This window comes from Homo sapiens, chromosome 5 (assembly GCF_000001405.40).
Source record: "Homo sapiens chromosome 5, GRCh38.p14 Primary Assembly".
NCBI lineage: Eukaryota > Metazoa > Chordata > Mammalia > Primates > Hominidae > Homo > Homo sapiens.
This window is the reverse complement of record NC_000005.10, coordinates 150,752,979-150,772,512: the sequence shown is the minus strand read 5'-3', so window position 1 is coordinate 150,772,512 and position 19,534 is coordinate 150,752,979. Positions and strand designations below refer to the sequence as shown.

Sequence of the window (19,534 nt, the reverse complement as noted above, 5' to 3'; positions counted from 1 at the left end):
TTTGGGAGGCTGAGGTGGGCAGATTACTTGAGGCCAGGAGTTCGAGGACAGCCTGGCCAACATGGCAAAACCCTGTCTCTACTAAAAATACAAAAATTAGCCAGGCATGGTGGTACATGCCTGTAACCCCAGCTACTCAAGTGACTGAGGCACAAGAATTGCTTGAAGCCGGGAGGTGGAGATTGCAGCGAACCGAGATCATGCCACTGCACTCCAGCCTGAGTTACGGAGTGAGATTCTGTCTCAAAAAACAACAACAACAAACGTTACTAGAGATAAAGAGGCACATTTGATAATGTTAAAGAGTTAATCCATCAGGAAATTATAACAATTATAAATATACGCACTAACAAGAGAAAAAATAACATAAAGATTGATAGAATTAAGGGAAGAAGTAGACAATTTAACAATTGTCAAAGATCCCAATACCTAACTTTCAATATTGTATAGAACAAACAGGCAGAAGATCAACAAGAAAATAGAAGAATTGAACAATACCATACACACACACTAGACCTAAAACACATCTATAGTGCACTCTACCAAACAACGAATAATACATACTTTTCTCACATGTACATAGAATACTATCGAGAATTGGAAATATGCCAGGCCATGAAACAAATTGCAATAAATTTAAATAGACTGAAATCTTACAAAGTATATTCTCCAATCATGATAGAGTGAAATCAGAAATCAAGAATGGAAAGAAATTTGGGGAATTAACAATATATGAAAATAAAACAACACACTATCAGTGTATGAAAGAAGAAATCACACAAAAAATTATAAAGTACTTTAAGGTGAATGAAAATCAAGACACAGCTATGTGATGCAGCTAGAGGATGTAGTTAAAACAGCATGTAGAGGAAAATGTATAGCTATAAATGCCTGCATTAAAAAAGAAGACAGATCTCACATCAACAACCTGACCTATCACCTAAGACACTGGAAAAAGAAGAGAAAACTAAACCAAAAGCAATTAGAAGGAAGAAAATAATAAGGATTAGAATGCATATCCACAAAATAGAGAATAGAAAAACATGAAAACCAAGAAAACAAAAAGTTGATTTTTTTAAAAGGTCAACAAAATTGACCAACCTTTAACTAGACCGAACAAGAAAGACTGAGATCCAAATTACTAAAAGTAATTTATGAAATTGATGTCAGAAATGGAAATGGGGCCTTTACTACTGACCTTTTGGAAATAAAGTGAATTACAAGGAAATACTATTAATAACTCTTTGACAATCAGTTAACTAACTTAGAGGAAGTAGACAAATTCCTAGAAAAGACACAAACTGCCAAAACTCACTCAAGAAGAAACAGAAAACCTGAATAGACTCATAACAAATGAAAAGATTAAACTGGTAATTGTTTTTAAAAGTCCAGGACCAGATGGCTTCACCAGTGAGTTTACTAAACATTTAAAGAAGAATTCACACCAATTCTTCACAAACTCTTCCAAATAACAGAAAAGGAGTGCACACTTCCCAATCCATTTGTCAACCCAGAAAATCTGCTACAGGTCTCAGTTAATTTAGAAAGTTTATTTTGCCAAAGTTGAGGACGCACCCATGACATAGCCTCAGGAAGTCCTGACGACATGTACCCAAGGTGGTCAGGCGTGGCTTGGTTTAATACATTTTAGGGAGACATGAGACATCAATCAATATATGTAAGAAGTATATTCAGTCTGGAAAGGTGGGACAACTTGAAGCAAAGGCAGGAAGACTCAAAGCAGGATGGAGCTTCCGGGTCACAGATAGGTGAGACACAAATGGTTGCTTTATTTTGCGTTTCTTATTCGCCTTTACAAAGGAGGCAATCAGATATGCATCTATGTCAATGAGAAGAGGGATAACTTTGTGGGGTTTTTTGTTTTCATTTTTGTTTTGAGACAGAGTCTCGCTCTGTCACCCAGGCTGGAGTGCAGTGGTGCGATCTCGGCTCACTGCAACCTCTGCCTCCCTGCTTCAAGTGATTCTTCTGTCTCAGCCTCCTGAGTAGCTGGAACTACAGGTGCACGCCACCACGCTCAGCTAATTTTTTGTATTTTTGGTAAAGTAGAGACAGGGTTTCACTATATTGGCCAGGCCGGTCTTGAACTCCTGACTTCAGGTGATCTGCTCGCCTCAGCCTCCCAAAGTGCTGGGATTACAGGTGTGAGCCACCATGCCTAGCGAGGGATAACTTTGAATAGAATGGGAGGCAGGTTTGCGTTAAGCAGTTTCCAGCTTGAGTTTTCCTTAGTGATTTTGGGGGCCCAAGATATTTTCCTTTCACAGTATTATGCTGATACCAAAATAAGACAAACATATCACAAGAAAAGAAAACTACAGACCAATGTGTCTTATGAATATTGTCACAAAAATCTTCAACAAAATACCAACGAATCAAATCCAGAATTATACAAGGATTATAAAACATGACCAAGTAGGACTTATCCCAGGAATGCAACATCCAAAAATCAATGTAATATATCACATCAATAGAATAAAGGGAAAAAAGTTCAAAAGAATAAAGTTGGACTCTTAGAGTAAGTCTGCATGACCATACAATGGAATATTACTTAGCAATAACAAAAAGTACTGATGCAGGCTTCAAGATAGATGGACCCTAAAAACAGTATGCTAAAAAGAAAGAAGCCAGTCACAAAGGGCTGTATATTCTATTATTCCATCTATATGAAATATCCAAAACAGGCAAATCGATAGAGATAGAAAGATTAGTGGTTTCCTAGTGGTAGGGGTAGTAAAGGGAATGTGGGGTGATGTCTAAAGACTGGTATTTCTTTCTGGGGTAATGAAAATCTTCAAAAATTGATTGTAGTGATGGTTGTGTAAATCTGTAAATGCTAAAAGCCATTGAATTGTACACTTTAAATGAATTAATTGTATAACATGTGAACTATATCTCAATCTAGTTGAGAATATCTTTGGAATGATATTGGGTATTGAAAATTTAACCCTAGCTCCTTGTGAAATCTCCAGTGGAAGCTAATTATCTGGCTGTAATAGTTGCTCAGAAGCATATAGCTCTAGATTTGCTGGCCATACAACAATGAGGCTTCTGTGCAAATGAATTAGGCCAAATATCCTCTAATGAAATCAGTCATCTTTGTGATCACAATTTTTGAAGTTTGTGATTATAGAGGTGGATTGATAAGAAAAATCATCCAGAAATTTGGAAATACACCAAAAGGATGACTACATGTCCTGCTGACATCACACTAGAGCATGACCTAGTGTGCTCTAAAGGACCATCTGACTCTCTAAGGATATGGATCTTTGTTTGATTGACTATTTACTATTAATTGGGGTCCAGACATTTTACAACCCCGTAAAGTTACATGTTAACTTTAGAAAGTTTGATATGGTACAAATGTGGTTTCTTCCTTGTTTTAGCTTGTACCATCCAGTAGAGATACAAATGATTTCTGTCTCATAGAAAAGATAACCCCAAAGGTTATGATTTTATTGCCCTGTAGGTAATTAACCAATTTTGCATCTAACCTATTAATTTTATTTTAGCATTCCTTGTCATCCTACTGGTTCCTTCATTAAACATCTAAATAAAACTTTGATCCATGCTTTCTATGTATATGTATACAAATTATATTTTTAATATTTTGAAACTATACTTTTTTATTTTTTACTTTTTGTAGTGATGGTGTTTTGTCATGTTGCCCAGGCTGTTCTTGAACTCCTGGGCTCAAGCGAACCGCCCACTCTGGCCTCCCGAAGTGCTGGGATTACAGGCATGAGCCACCACACCAGCTTGAAGACTATACTTTGACAAACTATTTGAAGAGAACACAATGCTAAAACAGATTTCAGAGTTCTTGAACTCATGCCATTCTTCCCAACTGTCAAGAATTGCCAGGCAAAAGGAGGTAATGCAAGATCATGTAGTTCAGAATTTTTGAAAATTGAGTTTGAATCCTGGTTCTGGCACTTATGGTGACCTTGGATGAAGTATTTAATGTCTACGAGCCTCTGTTTTCCCTTCCACAAAATGTGAATGCTACTGCCTAACTGAAGCAGCTTCAATGAGGATGAAATAGAAACAAGTGAAATCATGAATGTGAAAGAACATGTGTCTAGTAAATATTACTTATTTGAATAGATAATATATATGAATGACATGATCATATATAGGATTTTTCCCTAGGCCCTAGAGTAGAGCCTTCATACTATGTACAATTCTTTCCTTCCTGCATTTTCACTAAATTGAAACACTGCATGTCCAAAACTAAAGGGAAAATTAAAAACAATCTAATCCAAATTCTCCCTTTTACAGATGTGGAAACTGAGGCTCAGGGAGGCTGAGTGACTAGCCAAGGCTACCAGCTGACAATTGTTAGAGCCAGACTATGAACCCAGGACAGCTTGACTACTGAGCCTAAGCTCTTTGCCACTCTGCACTAATAATTTTGAGTGGGGTCTGGTTTTATCAAAGTCCTCCCTAAGTTCAAATTTCTGGTTACGATATTTTCCTTTCTATCACCTGCACCTAGGTGCAGAATAAGTGCTCTACTAGTTGAATGAATGAATAAATGAATGATAGGATGACCAGAGGTCAACCAAGACTTCTCTTTCCAGTTCTGAAGTTGTGCCGAAGGCAAAGTCGTATGCTTGAAAAACTATTGTATTAACTCAGAGAGTTCTCCAGAGAAACAGAACCACTGTGTGTGTGTGTGTGTGTGTGTGTGTGTGTGTGTGTGTGTGTGTGTGTGTAGAGAGAGAGAGAACAAGAAAGAGAGATTGATTCTTAAGAAAGTGGCTTACATGATTGTAAAGGCTAGCCAGTCCAAAATCTGCAGGGTAGCCCAGCAGGCTAGAAACCTAGGGAAGACTTGATGTTGCATCTTGAGTCTGAAAGCAGGTTGCTGGCAGAATTCCCCCTTCCTAGGGAAGGTCTATCTTTTTCTTAAGGCTTTCAATTGATTGGATGAGGTCCACCGACATTATGGAGGATAATCTGCTTTGCTCAAAGTTCACTGATTTTTTTTAAGAGGCAAGGTCTTGCTCTGTTACCCAGGCTCGAGTGCAGTGGCACAATCATAGATCACTGCAGCCAAAAACAGAATAGAATTGTAAGACAATAGGATGTTTAGTCTAGAGATGGGAGGACTCATGTAGGCAATGGGGAATCTGAGCAAACCTCTGAAGTATGCCTGGGACAGAGGGAGCCGACCTAGAATCAGAGAGTGTCAGCTGAGAAGAAGCAAATCTCAGTTCACCCAAAGAAAGAATTTTTTTAAAGAGCTGTCCGAAATTGGACAGAACAGGCTTTCTTGGGATGTCATGGGTTCCCTAACACTGGAGGTATGGGAGCAGAGAGATATCGCAGAAGGTTTTCATTGAGGCGGTGGAAGACTGGGGTATGGGGGCAAGGAGTGTGTCACTGGCACAAGGTAATGGTACTAAACTGGCACTAAACAGTACTAAACCATGACTTCTAGTCCTGGCTCTGTCGCTAGTTTGCTATGTGACCTTGAGGAAGTCCCTTCTTCTTTCTATATCTTCAGGCTCCAGAAGTGAAAAGAAGATAGTTCAGTTAAATGTTCTCTGTAGTCACTTGCACCTCCAAAACTTTTTTAAAGCTAAGGCTCAAGGATCTTAAGATTACTACAGTTTTTAATTAAAAGCATACCTGTGTTAGGGTGATCTATTTTGTTTCACTGATGAATCTGTCCTGGCTCAGACATTAGTTTCTCACTTACAGGCCCCTAAACAGCTCGGGTCTTCCCAAAAGTCAGGCAATAAGCACCAGGACTCCTGAAATTACTAGTCTCCCTCTCTTCCCCTTTCTTCCTGAAAAAATTCCCAAAGTTCTGTTTGTTCTATAAATCCTTGGGCAAAATGCCTTCTTACTCTTTGGGGGTAGCTCCACTCACTTGCTAACTCAAAAGAAATAACCTTCTAGCCTGAACATAAGATACAGGAATTTTTATTTTAATTAAAACTTTTGTATTATGGCTGAAAGCCTTCATTGAATTAATGATAAGGAAGGATGGTGAAATGATGAAACTTCTCGAACATGTGGAATTTGAGATAAAACAAAGTGCTAAGCAGACAGGGAGAAAGAAGAGGAAATGGAAGCGTTCTGTTTTATAGCTTTGAAGTGGAGTGATAGTCATATGGTCTCATTAGTGTGGTTATAATTATTTGAATCAATTCTCATGGCTTAATTCCAAAGTGTTCAATTATTACACAGTCATGTAGCTAGAGATAATAGAGTGTCTATTACCAGAAGATATCTCTGTTCAAATTTTTGAAGTAAACTTTCGTCTCAAATATTTATATGCCTTTGCCTATATTTTTCAAAAAAGAATATTTACTTGAACGAAACACTTATTTAGCATTTATTGTATAGCAAAGATTTTATGTGCATTATATTACTTAGTCCTTAAAACAATTCTAGGGTGAAAATGTTATTAACCCCTATTTTACACATCAGAAAACAGAAGCCCAAAGAGGATATGTTAACTTTTCTAAGATTACCCAACAGGAAGTAAAAGAACTGATGCTAAATGTCTTGCATCTGAATGACTCTTATTGAGTTAGGTCCTCTCTGTGCCTCTTTTTCTGCTCATTGAAATGGAGTAATTACTGACCTAGGTAAGGCACAGTGAGATGCACAGGCACAATCAGAATTGCAATGCACACTGCATAATGCACAAGCAGAATCAGACAATTAGCTACATGGTTACAAGAGAGGGTAGAGTAACTGTGAGAATAAAAGGGAAAAAATACTGTTTTGAAACCTATACAGTGTATTTCTATTTAAGAGAGTATTAATAAGTTTTACTTATTAACTTTAAGCATGCACTTAAGTTTCATTTTTGCTTCCAGATTCACCCTCTGCACAGTTCTCCATCCTGCCTTGTGAATGGGAGGTTCATCTGAATGTATCCCATCAGTGGGCCTGGTAGCAGACACTGCCAATCCCTGCGCAAATCTCTTAGGCCTTCTCCACCTCAATGTTTCACAGACTTCCAATTGCCAGTATCTGTATCTTTGTGTCTGAGGGCTTTTCCCAGAAACACAGAAGGTTGGTCTGTCAGTCCAAAAGTATCCAGGAATTAACCCTTTTCTCCAGGAGCAGCCCTCAACCAAAGACTTTAGGAGTATAAATATCCCAACTCCCTCACCCTTCAGTGAAATAATTCTGAGAGGTGTGTTTACATTGTTTCCAGAGTTTCTCTGTGGGACTAGGCTCCAGTCACCCACTATGATAGCTGGCTTAATAACACAATCATACCAGCTGTCTTCTCTTCTTTATTTCACTTCCTCAGTTCCCTACTGGTATACCCTGAACCTTTGAACCTCTCAAATAAATGACTTGCACTTAAACCCTTATCCCACAATCTGCTTCTGAGGGAAACTAAGATAGATTTCCTTGATGTCTAGTTTTCTGGTGGGCTCATCTAAGCGGGAAGCACCAGCAGGAGCTGAGGTGTTTTGCATTCTACCCCCACCCTCACCCCAGGGGCTGCAAGGCTGGCTCTGTGGCCCAATTCCTGTTAGGGGACCCTCTTCACACAGCTCTGTCTGTCTCCAGAGTACAGTAACTGCTCCCACCCTTGCGTCTTCAGGCCTCAGGCCATAAACAGCACCCACCTTTACTAACCCTGTGAACTGCAGTGTTCCTTCCTTTTCATTGCTCTCCACCCCACCCACAATTCCACAAATAGTTCCTATATTAAACTTTCTTCAAATTATCAATTTTAGCCCGCCATCTGTTTCCTGTTGGTACTGTGACTGATTCAGCTGGTTTGATAACTTCTGGGTTTGACCTCAGAGAAGACAGTTGGTTATGGGGACATGTGGGGAGGGCATGAGGCCATGACTAGGACAGTGGAGGGGGCAGAGATGGAAAGAGAAGTATACAGTGTGGCAGAGGTTAACTGTTATGGTGGTGGTAAGGAAAGAACAAAGTATCCCCAAACTTAGCAGCTTAAAATAAACATTTTTTATCTTACAGTTTCTGAGGGTCAGAGTCCAGGAGTTGCTAACCTGGGTGGTTCTAGCTCAGGGTCTCTCACAAGTTTGCAGTCAGGCTGTCATCTGGGTCTGTAATGATCTCTATACTCAAGTGAAGCTGGAGAATCCACCTCTGAGCTCACTCGCTGGTTGCTGGCAGGCCTTAGTCCTCAACAGCTGTGGGCCAGAGGCTTCAGTTTCCTGCCACACAGGCCTTGCTATGGGGTTGCTCACAAAATGGCAGCCTGCTTCTCCCAAACAAATGATACAAGAGAAAGGGTGTGTGTGTGTGTGTGTGTGTGTGTGTGTGTGTGTTTCAGACAGAGAGAGCTCCAGCAAGAGAGGGCCCAATACAGAAGACACAGTCTTTTATAATCTAGTCTCGGAAGTGTCATCCCATCACTTCTGTCATATGCTGTTGGTCACACAGACCAACCCTGGTACACAAGGGTAGAAACACCAGAAGGCAGTGGCCACTGATGGCCAGCTTGGAGGCTCACTTCCACCAGTGCTCAAGAGTAACAAAATTTCCCATTAAACTTCCCTGTGAGGACAGGAAGGCTCTCAGATGAGACAGCTGAAAGTCTAAAAGAACTTCCCAGGAATAAATTGTAAGAGGGGCAACACTGGAAATCCCAATTGTCCAAAACAATTTTTTTAAGAAGCCAACTTAGTGCTGCTCAGAAGTAAAGCTGGAGAGCCAGTGTAACTTTAGACAAATGAATTCCTCTCTCTGAACCTGTTTTCTCACTTGTTAATGAGGGGATTGGGCCATACTCCGTGGCCTAATAACCAATACTTACATACCACTGATATTACTGACAGCGTGCTGCCCTCTACCCACTTTACTTGTATTAACGCATTTTACCTTCACAGCAAGGGGAGAAGCTACTGTGGAGAGTCCTTGGCCCCATTCCAAACGGGCTGGGCTCTCCCACACCAGCATCACCTCAGCCTGAGCTGGAGCACTGAAGATCTGATTAATGTGTTTAGCAACTGACTGATTGGCTCTTTTTCTGGCCTCTTGTGAAATATGCCTTCCTGTGTTGTCATCACCGTGCTTTGTGAGTTGGAACAAAATAAGAGACTGAACAAGTTAGCTTCATTTCTTTTTCTTAAATATAAAAGTGTCTAGTCCTTTCCTGGATGTTTTTATTTTGACCTCAGGGAGAAGAAATAGTCTTGGTAATTTCTGAGGAAATAAACCCCCAGTGGCTGAATTTGGTCAAACTGAAAAACAAACTGTCCCCTGGCCCAACCAGGGCCTCCCTGTTGCCTAACTTCAAGCCATCCCCTCCCACATGGCAGTCTATGGGCATGAGGAAATCCCATAGGCTCTATCTTCAAAATACAGCCAGAATCCGTGCTCTATGGCACTATCTTCTTTTGCTTGGATCACCATTGGAATTTGCTAACTGAGCCCTGATTCTATCCTTGTCTCTCTACAGTCCATTTCCAAAACGATGTCAGGAATGACCCTTGTAAAATGTGGGTTAGATCACATCACTGCTCTGCTTGAAATCCTGCAATGGTTCCACATTCCCTTCAGAGAAAAATTCAACATCCTTTAAATGCCCTTTGAGATCCTACATGAGTGCACCCCCAGCCCCCATTAACTCTGGGACATCATCCCCCAAACCCCTCCCCCGTGCTCACTCCCTAACAATGACACAGGTCTTGCTGCTCCTCACATACGCCTTAGAGACCTTGTTTAGCTCCTTCTGGAAGGCTCTTTCCCCAGATATCCACTGGGCTCTCGCTCTACCTCCTTCAAATCTTTGCTCAAACCTTACCTTTTCAGGAGGGTTACCCTGACCACACAATCCAGAATTGCAATCCTCCCCTCTCCCCCTATTTCTTGTTCTGCCTTCTAAAAGAAGCAACTGCTTAAAGGTGAAAAAGAAAAAAAAAATTTTTTTAGTTGCCAGCTTCCATATGGCAGCAAGTTCCAGATGGTTTAAAATAGTGTTCATCCACTCGACAAATACTAACCGAGGGCTTGCTCTGTGCCAGGCACTGAGTTAGGCAGGAATTCAGTCTTTAATTCCACTTTGCTCAATTCAGTGAGCAATACACTGGTGCTCTCCTAGAAGCAAGCCTCGGGGTTGGGTGGTGAATTGTGCAAGAGGGAGGGTGAGAAACAGTCTCTGTTTGGCCAAATTTTAGTCAGGCTTCTGAATCTTCTGTAGGCCCATCTGTGCACTTCTCATAAAAAGTGGTTTTAGTGGGCCAGGCGTGGTGGCTCATGCCTATAATCCCAGCACTTTGCGGGGCTGAGGAGGGCAGATCATGAGGTCAGGAGATCCAGACCATCTTGGCTAACACGGTGAAAACCCATCTCTACTAAAAATACAAAAAAATTAGCCGGCCGTGGTGGCGGGCACCTGTAGTCCCAGCTACTTGGGAGGCTGAGGCAGGAGAATGGCATGAACCCAGGAGGCGGAGCTTGCAGTGAGCTGAGATTGTGCCACTGCACTCCAGCCTGGGCGATAGAGTGAGACTCCGTCTCAAAAAAAAAAAAAAAAAGGAAAGAAAAATTCAAAGTTCAGTTCAATTCAAAAGCAAAAACAATTCAAAAGATTTCCCAGAATAAAGGCAGGCCAGCAGTCTTTTGCCATGTTTACACTTGGGAAATTAGCTTTAGCCCTGCCACCACCACATTTCCTGGGCAGTAAGGGCCCCCACAGGGGCTAGCATGGATATTGATGAAACAGGGACTTCTTTTTTCTTCCTCCTCTATTCACTTACTATGACTTTTAGATTAGCCTGTAAATAGATTCAACACAGGAAACCCTATAATTAATATAGTTTTCAAGTAGGAAAGCAAAAGTGGGGAAGGCAGCCAGGGCAGGTGGCCAGCATTGGTGAGAGCAGTTCCCCAGATTCCTAAGCTGTAGAAAACCCTAAGTCTTTGAGGTCAGAGCCCAGATTCGGTCCCCTTCACAAGACCTCATTTGACCAAAGTCTGACTAACTTCCAGTTTTTTCCATTATTATTGTGGATTTACTCTGAAGGACTCTTTATAAAAATGAAAACCACTTTGGGTTTTTCATACTTGGGATATTTAGGGAGCATTTCTTCCATGTGCTTAGTACTTCATACCTTACAAAATGCTTTCACAGCCTGGATGATTTTTTATTTTCACCAAGGCAGGGATTATTCTTCTCATTCTATGTGTCTTGAAACAAGACTCTGAGGTGTAAATGTCTTTTTCAAGATCACATAGCTAGAAAGTGCCAAAAGTATCCACTCAAATTTGATAATATGCCAGGTGGGCAAAACAGTGGGAAATGGATAGCTCATACACTTATAGTGAGAGTGTAAATTGGCCTAGAATTTCACAAGGGCTTATTGCCAGTATTTATTAAATGTGGATATCCTTTGATCTGCCAGTTCAACTTTAGGGTCTCTGTATTAGCCTGAGTTCCCCCTAGAAAGCAGAGCTCAAAATGAGATTCTGCAGGCAGGAAGCCAGGATTGAGAAGTGAATGAGGGTGAGTCCAGGGCTGGGTAGAGTGAAAAAGCAACACAAGGCTACATTATCAAGCTGGTCACCATTGTGCATAACTAGGACTCGATCCTGCTAGAACCCTGAGCCTTTGAGGATGGAAAGTATCTCATTTATCGCTAGTTCCCTCCCCAGTACCTGGCATGTAGCAGGGACAAGATAATTGGCCACTTAATTATTTAAAATCAGTGCTCTAAAAAGTGTCTGTTTTATGTGGATTCAGCTCAAGTCTCCAGCCTTTCTGTACCTGCAGGCTCTGGGACTTCATTTTAACAGCATAGTCCAGAAAAGGGAATTTAAACTCAGTAGAGACTAGTTTATAAACCAGAAAACCAACGAATTCATTAACCTAAAGAAATAATTGCAAATGAGTTGGCTAGTAATATATTCTCTCCTAGGAGCAGATGTCACCTATGAAACTAAATTAGTGCCAGGCTATTGCTTGGTGAACAAGTAATGACTTTTAGGCTCAATTGGTAAAGCGTGACATAAATTGTGAGATTAGCACTGTATAAGCTGAAAAGGTCTATATAAATGTAAGGTATTATTAACATCACCATATTAGAAAATATGCTGGAGGGAGTATACATAGGGGTTATACCTGCAAGCACTAGAGTCAGAGAGAAAAGGGTTCTACCTCCATCTATGAAACCTTATAGAGGAGTCACTGCACTTCCCTGTGCCTCAGTTTCCTGCTCTGTAAAATAGAAATAATGATAGCCACATGCTTTTTGGAGCTGTTGTAAGAATTAAATTAGACAATGTATGTAAAGTTTTGACACAGTGTGCTGCACTTAATAAGTGCTCAATAAATGTTTGCTAATAGTATTCAGTTCCCTTTCTTCTCAATCACCAACTCTAACGTCAGACAGGTAATAATACAACACTACTACAATTATAAAAATGTAGACCTGGTGGCAGGCAACAGAGGCTCCAGTTTCTGCTAGGCAGTTCTAGGTGGTCATTTTACATACTGGGGAGTCCCAGTTAGAGAAAGGGAGTCAGGCTAGTGGGACCAAGGGATAGCAAGAAGAGCAGATGCACTCTAAGTCTGCCTTTCTTCATGGTGCAGGACACGTAGCCCTCCTGTGCAAATAACTCACAATCTTCCTGCACTCAGCTATCACGAGACACATGCAAGTTAGCTCCCTGTAACCTTGGAGTTCTCGGTACTGCACAGCACTCTGCAGCCCAAGAACCATCGGATAAAATCTCCAGCAAGCCTTTGTTTCCTTGAAGTCAGCTCCTCTCTGGCTGGTCTGCCCATTGCAACCTTTCAACGTATTTTCATACCTTCTCTAATAAATCTGCATTTCTTTACCTAAAACTGTTGATAAATTATTTTCCCACCCATGTAATACCAGTCTCACGTAGTCGCTGCTCACCCAAGAGGCAGACCTGAGCCTTAGTTTACACATTAGAAAAACGTAGACGCCTACCAACATTGTTCATTCATTGATTTCATTCCCTCCTTTTCATACTTATTGAAGGTCCACAATACAGACTTAGACCTAACGCTAACTATGTACTCAAAAACCTGCGTTTCAAATGAGATAATGTATGTGAAAGTTCCCAAAGGCCATTGGCAAGACTCAGAAGACAGTGCTGGTGTGACTCCTGTCTTGCAGTCCCCACGGAGCCCTGTCCCTTTGAGACCTTCCATTTGTCTCCTGGATGCTCGCCTGTTAAGTGGGGCAGAGGAGGCCGTCGTAAATAAGACAAAAGATCAGGCTTCCATTCTGGAAGAAAAGAATAAAAGGAGCTCACTGAGTCCAGACCTAATGGCAGTAAGGGCAGTGGACGCTCACAAAAGCGCTGGGGGACGGGCCCAGAGTTGGGGAGAAAACAGGGATCCCAGCTGCGCACGCGCGCTCTGGTTTTCGACGGGCGCAGAGCCGGACGAGGTGGGAAACCTAACGTCAAAGTCTACGTAGGAAGTCGTAGGGAAGGCAGCGAGGAAGACGCTGGCTCTCGGGTCACGTGATGCGCCGGGAGCGTCATCGCCTCCTCCCTCCCCAAGATGGCGTCCTTGCTGCAGTCGGACCGGGTTCTCTATCTAGTCCAGGGAGAAAAGAAGGTTCGGGCCCCGCTCTCGCAACTCTACTTCTGCCGCTATTGTAGCGAACTGCGGTCGCTGGAATGTGTGTCTCACGAGGTAACAGAGTCGCCCTATAGCGAGTATGTGGGGTGGGGGGGGCGCGGCGTTCATGCTAGTCACTGCCACCGGAAGGCTGGAGCTATTTTCCTTCCTTACTGATTGGTTATGTCTTCCGTCACTCGGGTTTGCCTGCGATTTAATTTGCTTCTAATCTGTCACTTGGAAAGGAGGAGCAGCCTCGGGTGGGACTGAGCGGATCTTCTGGTTCTAGAGCGGCCTCTGATTGGACAAACTTGACTTAGGGACCGTGTCTGTCTGCGATGGGGCTTGGTAATTGGGTGGACTACGGAGAAAGGTCTGGGGGTGCTTAGTTCAGGCCACTTAAGGGGCGAAAAACTGCCTTTCCAGGATTTATTGCGAGGATGGAGGGAGGCGCAGGCGTTCTCATTCATAGTTCTCCCATCCTGAAAGTTCTGTTCCTCTTTTGTCCAGAAACTGGGCCCTCGTCAGACTGCCTTGCCCTGTTCCTGACTCAGGCCAAGGCCTGCAGCCGGGAAGAGGTTGGGGCGGCGTGAGTTATGTGAAAAGCGCTCAGAATACAGTATGTCATGTAAGAAGCTGAAAGTGTATTTATGGAGCTAGAGGACAATGCTGTCCTTCCCTGGCACAAGTGGGCGTCCGAAGTTGGATTTTTCAAAAAGAAGACCCCGGCCAGTAAAAAGTCACCAAATAACAAAACCCCAAAACTTCTGCAGCGCTTGGCACATCTTGTTTATTCAGTAAGCTTTAGGGATTAAAAGGCGAGTAAGACATAAAATGCGCTGTTTAATAAGCCATAGTCTTAGTGAAGAAAAAGCTGATAGTAGTAATAGTTGCTGCTTATTCGATACTTGCTATATGTCATGTGCTTTATGTAATCTTCAAACCAATTTAAGTGGATACTTTTTTTAAAAAATTTTTTTTACAGGTAAAGAAACAGATACAGAGTGTTCGCTGTAAGTCACACAGCCAGTAATTTGGGGGTGGGAAGGAGGACCTGGATTTGAATCTAAACAGCCTAACTCAGAGTGTTTTTTACTGAAGATCCCGGGACTGTTAAAATAAATGCATATGAAAACACATACTATAAGCCATTTTATGTGTTATTAATAACTTATTTTATTGAAGATACTTTTCATAATAGGAATAGTCAAGAAAAGCAATTAAATAATACAAGAAAAATCGTATATATTAAAAATATGGCATCGATTTTTCTTCTCATCTCCATTAGCACTTTCCTTATGTGTATCTCCTTGATGATTCCCTATTCCAGCTCCACCTCCAGAATTTATTGGATCATATTCTCCTGTGGTGAATAGAGTGCTCAGTCTCCATGATCTGTCTCTAAGACTCTCTTCAATTAGGACATCCAGTCTGTGACAGCATCTTTTACAGCCTGATGTGTACCTGTGATATGGAGGCCATTAGAGTTTAGGGAAAGATGAAGCTCTGAGGGCTGGGGCAGGCAGTGAAGTTCTAATGGAGAATCTGGGTCTGGAGCTGCACATGAACGGACAAGCAGAATTTGGAAAGGGGGCAAAAAGGAATGACTTGTATTTTGCCTTTTTTGATGAGTCAGTGCAGAGGTTAGTTAGCAATATTGTATTTTATGTTCCTGGAGATTATTTGAGCAACAACTTTATTAATCTTTTCAAATTGACCTGTTTATAGCAGATGATGAAAAAAGCCAGTTTCTATCATAGTATTTATGTTCCAGTGATTGTCTTTTCATTTGCAGGTGACTAGAGTTCTATAATTGTCAAATAGGACCTACATTAAAGAAAATAATTATTCAGACTTTTAAAAAATAAAATGAACTTAAATTTTAGACTCCAGTTTTTTAAGTACAATAAGACTGTCCCATTAATTTGTTTAAAAATCTCTAATTGGTTGGCCATAGCTGACTATGTAAATAAATATTTATGCTTGCCTTCAGTCAACCTGTATTACTTCAATAATGAGAAATCTTTAAAAAAATGTCCTTCAAAACCTAAAAGTATGGTCAAGTTTTATAGTCATATAAAGCTAGCCTAGACAGGAGGATATTTTATCACAATGTTACAAATTGGATTATTTTATTAATCTCTTTATTAATCATAGAATTCTATGGAGTTCAACTGGAAATTGTAGATTGTTAAATAAACAACTTTTAACACATAAAACCCTGATGATGGAATAGGAAAGATCAGAAAAATAGAAGGATTTTTTAAATCCGGAAGAAGAAGAAAAAAAAAAAACAGGTGACTGAAGAAGAATAAACCCTAAGCAGAAAACAGTCTACTTTCTGCTACAGTATAACATATTTTAAAATTCACTATTTGACAAGACATATACACAAGTTAAACTGAGTTCTCCTCTGGTTTTTTTTTTCTTTCTTGTTTCCTCCTAGGTGGACTCCCATTATTGTCCCAGTTGTTTAGAAAATATGCCATCGGCTGAAGCCAAACTAAAAAAGAATAGGTAAGACCTGGACTGATTTTTTTTTTCTTCCTATTTTCCTTGACTGTTCTCTAAAATAGCTAGTTAAAAAGACACATGGGCCAGGCATGGTGGCTCACGCCTGTAATCCCAGCACTTTGGGAGGCGGAGGCAGGGATCACGAGGTCAAGAGGTTGATACCATCCTGGCTAACATGGCGAAACCCCATCTCTACTAAAAATACAAAAAATTAGCTAGGTGTGGTGGCACGCGCCTGTAGTCCCAGCTACTTGGGAGGCTGAGGCAGATGAATTGCTTGAACCTGGGAGGCAGACATTGCAGTGAGCCAAGATTGTGCCACTGCACTCCAGCCTGGGCAACAGAGCAAGTCTTTGTCTCAAAAAAAAAAAAAAAAAAAAGACACATGAAATTAACTTTTTTAACCAGCTCTTTTTCATTTTTAAGCATCACCATTGCCAAAGATGAAATCCCCTTTGATTTTTGAAATAGATTTTCTACTTTAGAACAGTTTTGTACTTCAGAATTATGGTGAAGATAGTATGGAGAGTTCCCATTTACCTCACATCCAGTCTCCCCTATTGTTAACTTTTTACATTAGTGTGGTATATTTGTTACAATTAATGAACCAATACACTACATTTTATTCAGATTTCCTTAGTTTTTCTGTGGTCTCCTTTTTTTCCAGGATTCTTTTCAGGATATCACATTATATTTATAGTTATGTCTCTAGACTCCTCTTGGGTGTGGTGTGATAGGAGAATCTTAAAATTTCCTTGGTTTTGATGACCTCAAAAGTATTGAGGAGTACTGGTGAGGTATTTTATAGAATGTCATTTCATTAGGATTTGCATGATGTTTTTTTCTCATCAGACTAGGGGAATGTATTTTGCGGAGGAGAACCACAGAGGTAAAGTGCCATCTTTGATTACATCATATCAAGGGTAAATACTTATGACTTGTCACTGTTGGTGTTAACCTTGATTATCTGGCTTGAGCTAGTGTTTGTCAGGTTTCTCCACTGTAAAGTTACTGCTTTTCCTTCTTTTTTTGTACTCTACTTTTTGGAAGGAAAATTACTGTCACAGCCCATAAAGACTAGAGAATTATGCTCCCCTGTCCTTGAGGACTATCTGCATAAATTATTTGGATTTGGAATTCTTTTGCATGGAAGATCTGTCTCTTCTCCTCTTGTTTATTTGTTTTTTAAATCACTTACTTATAGGACAGTGGGATTATGAATATTCATTTTATATTTTGGCTTGTAATCCAATACTACTTTATTTATTTTGCTCAAATTATTTCAGCTTTGGCCATTGGGAGCTCTTTCAGTTGACTCCTAGATCCCTTTGACATACCCCCATCATTAGGAGCAGGAGAGAGTTCTCTGTTCATTACTTTGATCATTTTCTTACCAGTACTACAAGATACTCCAGACTCATCTTGTGTGTATGTTTTGTGTGTATTTTTTTTTTTTTGAGACAGGGTCTCACTTTGGCGCCTAGGTTGAAGTGCAGTGGTGCAATCTTGGCTCACTGCAACCTCAACCTCCCAGGCTCAAGCAGTCCTTCCACCTCAGCCTCCTGAGTAGCTGAGACTAGGCACATGCTACCACACCTGGATAATTTTTGTATTTTTTTGGAGAGATAGGCTTTTGCCATGTTGCCCAGGCTGGTCTTGAACTCCTGGCTCAAGCACTTCACCTGCCTTGGCCCAAAGTGCTGGGATTACAAGCGTGAGCTGCTGTGCCCAGCCTCATCTTGTATATTTTCTGTCTCAGTCTTAGAGTTGTTTCTCCAAGGAGCCTTGGTTCACTTTATTGGAGAATAGTCTTAGAAACCAAGATATGGCTGCTAGGCTTGCTCATTGCTACTGGATGGTGTTTAGTTTTTAGCTTGAAGTGAAAGTCCTTTTGCTGTTAGTCATACCCCCATACCTTTATGGATGTGAACCACTATTATTTGTCTTTCCTGCCCTGAGAAGTAACCCCTGATAACCAGATACTGTTTTGTATACTTTCCACAAATTAATTTTTATCATTTAATCCTCAAAGCTTCCTTGTAAGGTGAGTACTATTATTATCTTCTTTTGATAGTATCCAGATGGCAGACTATAACAGATAATGCAAGTTATATTATAGAACAGAACTTCAAGCAGGTACAGGACTGCAGGTGAAATCTTGATAATCTGTGCTGGTGGGAGAGTTAAAAGCAAGAAGACATAGGGACCTCCTAAAGGAGAAATGTTGGCTGAGCACTAGGAAAAGTAGCATTTAAGGAGAGAACAGAAAGCCCTGAAAATATGCTGCTTCTGAACCATTCCAGTTTGATAGCATTGTTTGCTTTCTGTTGAAGCTCTCTGGCACAGCAGTCGGTTATTTTCCAAATCCAGTTTCACAGCTTCTTGTATTGTTGACTCTAAGTTTTCTATGGCACAGTTGGTCTGTCCTCTCTAAAGGCATAAGCTGTGACAGTTCTCTTCCTCAGAAATCTTTGTGATCAATATAAGCATAAAAAGAGTCTGGAATCATAAACTCCATCTGTTAACAATGGTTCTCTCTGTGGAGTAGGATTGGGTTGGGCTCTAATTCTTACTTTGGCGATAACTGCATATTTTTTAAACTAATGAACATATAGTACTCTTGAACTGTTAAAGCAAAGTTGGTAAGAGGCCTGCAGAATGTTACTGTTTTTTCTTGAGAGACACTTGTCCTTATATTTGTTCTCTCTTGAATTCCTTGATAAATATTTGTTGAATGAATGGTTGTGTTTGTCATGTCACAGATGTGCCAATTGTTTTGACTGTCCTGGCTGCATGCACACCCTCTCTACTCGGGCCACGAGCATCTCCACACAGCTTCCAGATGACCCAGCCAAGACCACCATGAAGAAAGCCTATTACCTGGCATGTGGATTTTGTCGCTGGACGTCTAGAGATGTGGGCATGGCAGACAAATCTGTAGGTGAGTGAGATGGACTTCAATATGAAATTTTGTACAATTGACAGTGCTATAATTGCCCATAGATTATTATTTCTGTAACCCGTTGGGGCGATAGGAGCTAAATTCAGAATATTTTGTCATTAACTCTTCTGTGTTCCCATATGTTCACATTTGTAGACCTTAGTGTTTTATCTGAGATGGGATAATATTTAGTTTTCTTAGACTTGATAAAATAGCTTTTATAAATCTGGTACTTTCTTGGAATCAAAATATTAATGCTCTTCATGAAAAATAAACATTCATGTTAAGACATCATGGATAAAACTAAAAGATAAGGCCGGGCACGGTGGCTCACGCCTGTAATCCCAGCACTTTGGGAGGTTGAGGCGGGCAGATCACAAGGTCAGGAGATCGAGACCATCCTGGCTAACACAGTGAAACCCCGTCTCTACTAAAAAATACAAAAATTAGCTGGGCGTGGTGGGGGCACCTGTAGTCCCAGCTACTCGGGAGGCTGAGGC

General features: G+C 40.9%; 1 protein-coding gene across 8 annotated transcripts in view, besides 2 other annotated features; it reads left to right on the top strand.

Annotated features, from left to right (window-relative positions):
• Positions 13,421-13,720: an enhancer, noted in NCBI's record as "active region_23428". NCBI's record gives its function as "activates an Ori minimal core promoter by ATAC-STARR-seq in GM12878 lymphoblastoid cells {active_cell/tissue: GM12878}" and the evidence as "EXISTENCE:reporter gene assay evidence [ECO:0000049][PMID:35858748]".
• The window catches only part of DCTN4 (dynactin subunit 4), a 50,578-nt gene continuing 44,539 nt past the window's right edge, over positions 13,496-19,534 (top strand). For 2 of the 8 annotated variants that reach the window (NM_016221.4, NM_001135643.2), the window contains exons 1-3: positions 13,496-13,654; positions 16,026-16,096; positions 18,856-19,034. In NM_016221.4, the coding sequence (NP_057305.1) occupies positions 13,520-13,654; positions 16,026-16,096; positions 18,856-19,034 (385 nt within the window). In that variant the 5' untranslated portion in view covers positions 13,496-13,519. Of the gene's footprint in view, positions 13,655-13,814; positions 13,953-14,005; positions 14,398-14,564; positions 14,593-16,025; positions 16,097-16,958; positions 16,983-18,855; positions 19,035-19,534 lie in introns of those variants that run through there. The other 6 variants (XM_011537644.2, XM_047417261.1, XM_011537645.2 and 3 more) reach the window with 6 other exon arrangements.
• Positions 14,151-14,220: an enhancer, noted in NCBI's record as "active region_23427". NCBI's record gives its function as "activates an Ori minimal core promoter by ATAC-STARR-seq in GM12878 lymphoblastoid cells {active_cell/tissue: GM12878}" and the evidence as "EXISTENCE:reporter gene assay evidence [ECO:0000049][PMID:35858748]".